Source organism: Homo sapiens, chromosome 2 (genome assembly GCF_000001405.40).
Source record: "Homo sapiens chromosome 2, GRCh38.p14 Primary Assembly".
NCBI lineage: Eukaryota > Metazoa > Chordata > Mammalia > Primates > Hominidae > Homo > Homo sapiens.
The window spans coordinates 182122048-182131791 of record NC_000002.12 but is presented as its reverse complement, the minus strand read 5'-3'; the positions used below and the strand labels follow the sequence as shown (position 1 = coordinate 182131791).

The following is a 9744-nucleotide window of genomic DNA, read 5'->3' as shown; positions in this document are numbered from 1 at the left end:
CCCAGGCTGGAGTGCAGTGGCGCGATATCGGCTCACTGCAACCTCCAACTCCAGGGACAGTGACTGCAACCTCCAGCTCTGCCAGGGACAGTCACCCCAGGATCTCCAGCTTCCCTAGGCCCTGCTAGCCACCCTGGGGACTAATAATTCTCCTGCCTCAGCCTCCTGAGTAGCTGGGACTAAAGGCACATGCCACCATGCCCGGCTAATTTTTGTGTTTTTAGTAGAGACAGGGTTTCACCATGTGGCCAGGCTATTCTCAAACACCTGACCTCAAGTGATCTGCCAGCCTTGGCCTCACAAAGTGCTGGGATTACAGGCTTGAGCCACTGCACCTGGCCCTTTAGTAAAGTTTTATTTCTCTGTGCTTAATTTAATAGAAATCAGGTTAAATTTCTTCTCTATCTTTCCTTTAGAAACCTTCTTTTTTATTTCCATACAGCAAAACATTTTATGAATATACATATATACATATTTAGTGTACATTTTATATATATGTGTATATATACATATTTTGCATACACATACATGTGTATATAGAAATGTATACAAGCACATATATAAATTATAGACACAAACACACACACACACTGCTCAATAGAAAAAAAATTTAACTCCACATTGCACAATGAAAGAAAACAAGGAGATTAATTTTGGCAACTGTATTTTCCCCAGAATATTGCATTAAATTATCTTCTACAGATATAGTTGTGGGTGTTTATGATGACAATGTCTATTTTTTAACACTGTTCTGCCAATACGACAAAAAACTTACTTTGAAAAATCTTATTTAGGTACTAACCAGTTCCAATTAACTCCTTCCTATATATTCCATTTATTCTGACAATAAAAGTGTGTAGCTCGAGCTTGTTATCATAGGCAAGTCCAGGATTTAGTAGTATCATTCCTGTCTTAGAATTGACCTTCATGTCATTTTAATTTTTAAACTATTGGGTGTTCTCAAAAGCAAATAAAGGACCAATGTAATATTTAAAACACTTGACAAATGTAACAAACAAGTGACAAATTCAAAACAGAAAAATCTATGTTTCATTAGGGTAAAAGAAGAGAGCAACATATAATTAGTCTGCTTAGGAAAACACATCCACAGAATATATGCTGCAGGAGAAATGTAACAGGAGACTCACTCATCTACTGCAAGGCTTTGAAAAATGTTGGTATCTGTAAACAATAAAGAAAGAAAAGATATTCTTCTCTAATTATTAAAGAGATGTTCAACCATCTGCAAACTATTTTTTTAAGTTCTTGTTGTTCCCTTCCTTTGATTCATGCAAAGCCATGTTGTACCTTTGCTACTTTTGAGAATAATGGGACTTTGAAGTCAATTAAACTCATTCCTCAGCTTGAAGGGAGCAGCAGGTAGAATGTTGTCTTTGGCTCCTCATTAAGTAGTATATTGTTCCTTTCAATGATCTAATATCTACAGCATAATCCACAATTCCGCAGGTAGGTCTGGGTGATTATGCTTTTTCATATTTTATTTCTTTGGCAATACAAAGTCTAAGAGTAGGAAGTAAAAGTTAGTACTTAAATCCTGGGGCAAGTAGGGAGGATAATAATAATGAACAATTTGTGAAATTATTTTTATTTTTATTTTGCAACTTATGAGAAATCAAGAAAGGGAAACAAATTAAAGATTGATGCCTTGTTCTTTAAGAAAAGGTTATACCTAAGATTGTCATAAACTCAGCAATTCTCTCATTTTACATGATAAAGGTTATTTTTAAAATATAGATTTAGACATAGGAAACATTTTTAAATGAACCATGTACTTTTTTTATTAAAGTTTCAAATTTACTTCTTTTATTTCTTATAAGTCATCTTAGTTTGAAGTCAATGCCCAAGAATTAAAGTAGAACTCAGGGTTTTCTTCCCAGCTTAGCCTCATTAGCAAAAGTATCTGCCTATGCTTTATGTCTGAATTGGAGGAAGTTTAGCTCTAAGTCAATATATAAGACAGTATAAGAAAGAATAAAAGTCTATGGCTCCTAAGGAGGATAGGCTTTTTTATTCTAAAATCTATCACAACTCAAACAGGTCAGAAGCTAGTTAGTGGAAGCGTTTGTTGGATTATTGGTTCATTTGGGGACACTTATTTTCTTTGGACTCTAGTTTTCTTATCTATAACATAAATCCTACCTGTCATACATAATTAATGTGATTATTAACAGAAATATAGGTGAAGCCACTTAATTAATTATAAATAATTGAATAAATCTTTACTAGCAGGATGGCAATAACAATAAAATAGCCTTTTTATTTTTATAAGTCTGCTGCATAATTCAGTAGTTGGCAGGTAGTAGACTATCAGTAAAATCTGTGGAACTAAATTAAATCAAGACCAATGGAATTTGAAAAAGAAACAAGGCAATAAATAAACACAGTGGAATTTGAAAAAGAAACAAAAAAATGTTTTTGAAAGACTCCCTGTTGTAAGAGAAGGCTCAGATTCCAGAATTAGAAAAACTAAAAATGAATCACTTAAAATGTACCTAAACTCAAGATCCCTTTTTTAGTTGTAGAGAGGAATAAACTAAAACCAAAGGGAAGGACTTGGCAAATGGTGTAATAAAAATTATTAGAAAAAAGCAATAAGTGAAGAAACAGCTTCTGAAAAACATGTCAATACTTATGTATAAAATATCTAAAGTGCTTCAGGAGGTAATCCAGTAGAAAGCAACGTGGCATCATGATGGAATCGGAGGTGGTGTTTGTTTTGTGTTGGGATTTTTCCAAGCTCGAGTAGAAGCACAGCACTAACAAGTCAACTTCTGGTTGTTATCAACTCATTTTGCACCTGGAGGAGAAAAAGAAAATACTTCAGAACACAGTGGAAACTTTCCAGAGGATTTAATACCATGTCATGTAAATCTCTGTAAAGGGAAAAATCTGGTATGCAGCACTTAGTAGCAACAAAGCTTGTATGCTAGGATAGAGTCAATTATCCAATTAGTGATTTGTAAGAGGAAAGTTTTCCTGGAAGAACTTCTAAATTTTAAAAACAAACAACAAGCAAAAAAACTGATCGTCACTATTTAGGTCATTTTCTAAAGGGAAGTTTTAAAAGACAAAAATCAACTGGTTACAATGCTCATTTTATTACATACATACATGCATATATACATACGTACATACATATGCATATGTGTGTTCATGCATTTCTAACTCAAGCAATTTTATTCCGTTGGCTGTCATACAAGCACACAGATATCATTTCTCTTCTGAGCCCATATTCTCATAATACTGCTGCTTTCTGTCTATTCTCATCTCTTCTTTTTTCCTTTACAACTTGCCTGCAGTTCTTGAAAGAAAATTAGAAAGGAGAAACAGATCTTAGAGTCAGAGGGGCCCTGACAAGATTCTCTGATCTTCTATTATATAATTCTCCACGTTTTACCGAGCAGAAAACTCAGTTCTAGAGTGGTTAAGGGACTTGCCCAATGTCACACAGCTTTGATAAAAAGGAGACGCTACCTTTTGCAATATTACCATTTTATTTCCTTCCAGAAACTTATCATTATCAGAAATGATTTCATTACTTTATTAGTTTACATGTATTTGACTGCCTTCAAACACTAAAATATACACCCATGAGTTTAAGGACTCTCACTTCTTATTAATACCTAGAATCAGCAGCACTTAAACAATGTTTAGCATGTCATAGGTATTCCTACATATTTATTGAATAATGAACTAGAATTTTGGTCTTGTGTTTGTAAAGGATACCTTTTAAAACTTCACCAAATAATCCTATGAAAAACAGCACAGAACAGTTAATAATATCTGACTGGTTCTATCCAGCCCGTATTACCTAATATATGCATTTTTAATTGGCAAAAATGTCTACAGAATGTTAATATTTTTAACTCCTTGACAAATATGAATAGTCTGTGGTTCATTTAAATGCCTTAAGGAAGAAGAAAATCCCAAAACTCTGTTCACTTGGGAATCAGATACTGCTGAACGTTCAACAAATACCTATGCTGACTTTCACTATGAGAACCCTAATTTAGCTGGGATGTGGCAAGGCACCTGGTTAAAAATATTTACTTTCTCCAACACTGTTGCATCAAGGGATAGTCCGGTGACACAGTTCTGGCCTACGAGACATTAGTTCAAGATTTCTAAAAAAGTTTTGCTTCTTTGTTATTGGTTCTTCCCCTTTTCTTCCCACTGTTCTTTCTACTTGGACCGACCAGATGCTTGGAGCAGCAGCTTGGTTGAGATGTGAGTTTACAACTCTGAGAATGTTGAGAAAAATGAAAATTGCCTGTTGCTTGTTGGTGTCTTGATTCACTATTCCAGTCCTAGACATTTTATTACTTGACATAAACATATCTCTACACCGTTGTTTGCTGGTTTTTCTTTTATTTGCTGCCAAATAATTTTCTACATGACACAATTTTGAACTTTCTAAATGTAAATTTGAAGAAAAATTCTCTAGGCCTCACTTTTTCTACCTGTAAAATGAGGGCCATAGACCAGAACTGTGACTCATTTTCCAGCTCAGAAAATGCTAGCCCCTCTAGACTGCTCTCACCTCTTGAAAACAAAGTCATGGTAATGTGCTCCACAAACCTTACAAGTTTATGTCACCAAAGTTCAGCTGGACTTCTGGTAACTGTCTGCCTTGTAAGTTAACACTTTGTCTGAAGAATTATTTGCTGAATATACTCTAATATTCTGTTACTTTCAGGATTCTAATATGGTAATTTTATATACTGCTGGGATTCTCACTATGTTCGTTCCTTCGAATTAGCTTCATTGTTACTGAAATTCAGAGAAAAGGGAAAACCCTGTTAAGTCATGTTTATAGCGTAAGAAATTAAAAACAAAGATGAATCCAATATCATTTTAATTTACTTCATCAAGAATTTTTCCCTTGTCTCCAAGTTACAAATTCCCTCCTTTACCTACTTTTCTCTCTAATCCAGTCTCTTGTTCATCTTCCCTCTATACACCAAGTCTCCATTGCCTGCATGAAATATATTATTATATTCAGTAGGGGAAGTGGCTGCACCCCTACACACAATGTCTGTGTCCACAAAATAAATGTCAAGGAAAGACCTACGGTTGAGTGGTAGTCTCTTTACAAAATGTCATCAGGCACCTATCATTCATGTTGATTATTTCAGAATTTACAGGACAATGCTGCATTGCTGTGTGAATTATGTGAGATGTTTGCATCTCACATATTACGTGAGATGTTTACTCACTTAAAATGTCATTTAAAACCAAACATTCCCCCTAGCATTTTTATAAAGCTCTTCTCTGATATAGTTCTTCAAAATGTTATGATGTTATAAAATCTAACAATTTAATTTTGTTAACATAGACAAAATAGACATTTCAGCAACATAGACATTTCTTATTAATTAATGCAACTAATGGAGCTTTGAGGACTGGTTTTTGGAATCACTGAGTTAGAAAATAAGTAAAGGCATTTCTTCTACATTCTGCTTACTCAGAGAAAGCAAATATTAAAAATTGTATATGTATATAGACACTTTAACATAAGTAGACATGCTTTTTCTATTATTCATTTTGCAATTAAACTGTTTGCTTTTTGATAGTGGCCAAAAAAACATATAAAGACTTTTAAAAAAATACAATATATATGGTTTATTTATGAATGCATAAATCTATATTACAATTAAATGAACTCTGTAATACTTACACTTAAGTTGTTTGCTATGACAATATTTAAAACCAGTGCTTCCCTAAATGCCCACATTAGAAAGTGGGAAAGATCTAAAATTGACACCCTAACATCACAATTAAAAGAAGTAGAGAAGCAAGAACAAACAAATTCAAAAGCTTGCAGAAGACAAGAAACAACTAATAGCAGAGCAGAAGTGAAGGAGATAGAGACACAAAAATCCCTTCAAAAAATCAATGAATCCAGGAGCTGTTTCTTTGAAAAGATTTTCTTTGAAAAGATTAACAAAATAGATAGACTGCTAGCCAGACTAATAAGGAAGAAAAGAGAGAAGAATCAAATAGACACATTAAAAAGTTATAAAGGGGATATCACCACTGATCCCACAAAAATATTAACTACCATCAGAAAATACTATAAACATCTCTACACAAATAAACTAGAAAATCTAGAAGAAATGGATAAATTCCAGGACATATACACTCTCCCAAGACTAAACTAGGAAGAAATCAAATCCCCGAATAGAGCAATAACAAGTTCTGAAATTGAGGCAGTAATTAATACCCTACCAACCAAAAAGCCCAGGACCAGATGGATTCACAGCCAAATTCTACCAGAGGTACAAAGAGGAGCTGGTACCTTTCCTTCTAAAACTATTCCAAACATAGAAAAAGAGGGACTCCTCCCTAACTCATTTTATGAGGCTAGCATCATCATGATACTGAAACCTGGCAGAGACACAACAAAAAAAGAAAATTTCAGGCCAATATACCTGATGAACATCGATGTGAAAACCCTCAATAAAATACTGCCAAACCGAATCCAGCAGCACAGCAAAAAGCTTATCTACTGTGATTGAGTTGGCTTCATCCCTAGGATGCAAGGCTGGTTCAACATACACAAATCAATAAACATCATCCATCACATAAACAGAACCAATGACAAAAAGCACACAATTATCTCAATAGATGCAGAAAAAGGCCTTTGATAAAATTCAACACTCCTTCATGCTAAAAACACTCAACAAACTATGTATTGATGGAACTTATCTCAAAATAATAAGAGCTATTTATGAGAAATCCACAGCCAATATCATACTGAATGGGCAAAATTCTACCATTCCCTTTGAAAACTTTGTCTTATGCAAGACAAGGATGCCCCCTCTCACCACTCCTATTCAACATAGTATTGGAAGATCTGGCCAGGGCAATCAGGCAAGAGAAAGATAAAGGGTATTAAAATAGGAAGAGGGGAAGTCAAATTATCTCTGTTTGCAGATGACACAATTATATATTTAGAAAATCCCATCATCTCAGTCCAAAAACTCTTTCAGCTGATAAGCAACTTCAGTGAAGTCTCAGGATACAAAATCAATTTGCAAAAATCACAAGCATTCCTATACACCAATAATAGACAAACAGAGAGCAAAATCATGTGAACACCCATTCACAATTGCTACAAAGATAGTAAAACACCTAGGAATGCAACTTACGAGGGATGTGAAGGACCTCTCTAAGGAGAACTACAAACCACTGCTCAAGGAAATAAGAGAGGACACAAACAAATGGAAAAACATTCCATCCTCATGAATAGGAAGAGTCAATATCATGAAAATGGCCATACTGCCCAAAGTAATTTATAGATTCAATGCTATTCCCATCAAGATCCCATTGACTTTCTTCATAGAATTAGAAAAAAACTACTTTAAACTTGATATGGAACCAAAAAAAGAGCCTGTATAGCCAAGACAATCCTAAGCAAAAAAAAAAAAACAAAAAAAAAAACAAAAAAAAAAAACAAAAAAAAACAAAGCTGGAGGCATAACACTACCTGACTTCAAACTATACTACAAAGGTACAGTAACCAAAACAGCATGGTACTGGTACCAAAACAGATATATAGACCAAGGGAACAGAACAGAGGCCTCAGAAATAATGCCACACATCTACAACTATCTGATCTTTGACAGTCCTGACAAAAACAAGCAATGTGGAAAGGATTCCCTATTTAATAAATGGTGTTGGGGAAAACTGGCTAGCCATATGCAGAAAGCTGAAACTGGACCCCTTCCTTAAACCTTATACAAAAATTAACTGAAGATGGATTAAAGATTTAAATGTTAGAACTAAAACCATAAAAACCCTATAAGAAAACCTAGGCAATACCATTCACGACATAGGGATGGGCAAAGTTTTCATGAGTAAAACACCAAAAGCAATGGCAACAAAAGCCAAAATTGACAAATGGGATCCAATTAAACTAAAGAGCTTCTGTACGGCAAAAGAAACTACCATCAGAGTGAACAGGCAACCTACAGAATGGGAGAAAAGTTTTGCAATCTATCTATTTGATAAAGGGCTAATATCCAGAATCTATAAGGAACTTAAACAAATTTACAAGAAAAAAACAAACAACCCCATCAAAAAGTGGGCAAAGGATACGAACAGACACTTTTCAAAAGAAGACATTTATGCGGTCAACAAACGTATGATAAAAAGCTCATCATCACTGGTCACTAGAGAAATGCAAATCAAAACCACCATGAGATAACATCTCAGGCTAGTTAAAATGGCGATCATTAAAAAGTCAGGAAACAATAGATGCTGGAGAGGATGTGAAGAAATAGGAACACTTTTACATTGTTGGTGGGAGTGTAAACTAGTTCAACCATTGTGGAAGACAGTGTGGAGATTTCTCAAGGATCTAGAACCAGAAATACCATTTGACCCAGCAATTCCATTTCTGGGTACATACCTAAAGGATTATAAATCATTCTACTATAAAGACACACGCACACGTATGTTTATTGTGGCACTATTCACAAAAGCAAAGACTTGGAACCAACCCAAATGTCCATCAATGATTGACTGGATAAATAAAATGTGGCACATATACACCATGGAATACTATGCAGCCATAAAAAGAATGAGTTCTTGTCCTTTGCAGGCACATGGATGAAGCTGGAAACCATCATTCTGAGCAAACTAACACAGGAACAGAAAAGCAAACACCACATGTTTTCACTCATAAGTGGAAGTTAGACAATGAGAACATATGGGCACAGGGAGGGGAGCATCACACACAGGGGCCTGTCAAGGCGGGGGGCTAGAGGAGGGATAGCATTAGGAGAAATACCTAATGTAGATGACAGGTTGATGGGTGCAGCAAACCACCATGGCACCTGTATACCTATGTAACAAACCTGTACGTTCTGCACAGGTATCCCAGAACTTAGAGTATAATAATAAACTAAAATAAATAAATAAATAGTGCCAGGAAAAAACAGAGACAACTCCAGAATGTAGGACATCTCACAGTACCACTGACCTAGTTTCTTGAACACTTCACCTACTTGATTTATCTAACAATATTTTTTCTTTTTTTTCTTGCTTACTTTATGTCTGTTTTGGCTTACGTATTTAAAAGTAAATCTCACACATCATGCCATTTTATCTTTCCATATTTAAATATGCATCTGTTGAAATGGGTGCATTGTCCCTACAGAGCCAAAGTGGTTAGCTAGCAATCCCAATAAAATTATCATTTCCTCAAAAAAACAAAAAACTAGTGCTTCCAAACTTTCGTTCAATTATATATTACTTTTTTGATTGGGGTACCACTTTTACTAAATTTTTCTTTAAATAAACCTAAAATATACTCACACTTTAAACTTGCCTCATCCTAAGCATAATAGGTATGGAATCATGGATTTGGGGTTGCTGGATATGTATTTCTTCTAATACACATTATAATCATATTTGTAACTATAAAAAAAAGGATTTTTCCTGGCCAACCTAAAATTATGTTGTTCTCCATAATGTATAAAACATTGGCATATATTAAATTAACACTAAAAGTGAATGGTAAAAAAATTAGTGAGTAATTTTTTTTTATAAATACCCTTACCTTGGATAACTCTGGGAAGAATAAAGGGTTACAAAATTATCGTCCAATAGAAATAACTCTAGTCAAGAATCCTGCCTGACTCTGCCACAGTCTGCCTGTTCCTCACGTATAAGAGGATAGAAAAATAACCCCTAACTTATTCACCTGACAGAGCCTTT

The 9744-nt window shown here is 34.7% G+C and overlaps 1 protein-coding gene across 3 annotated transcripts in view; it reads right to left on the bottom strand.

The window, feature by feature from the left end:
* Nucleotides 1-406: 406 nt before the first annotated feature.
* PPP1R1C (protein phosphatase 1 regulatory inhibitor subunit 1C) overlaps nt 407-9744 on the bottom strand; it is a 176906-nt gene continuing 167568 nt past the window's right edge. For all 3 annotated transcript variants that reach the window (NR_048566.2, NM_001261424.2, NM_001261425.2), the window contains exon 6: nt 407-2818. The gene's annotated coding sequence lies outside the window, so the exon portion shown is untranslated. The remainder of the gene's footprint in view (nt 2819-9744) is intronic.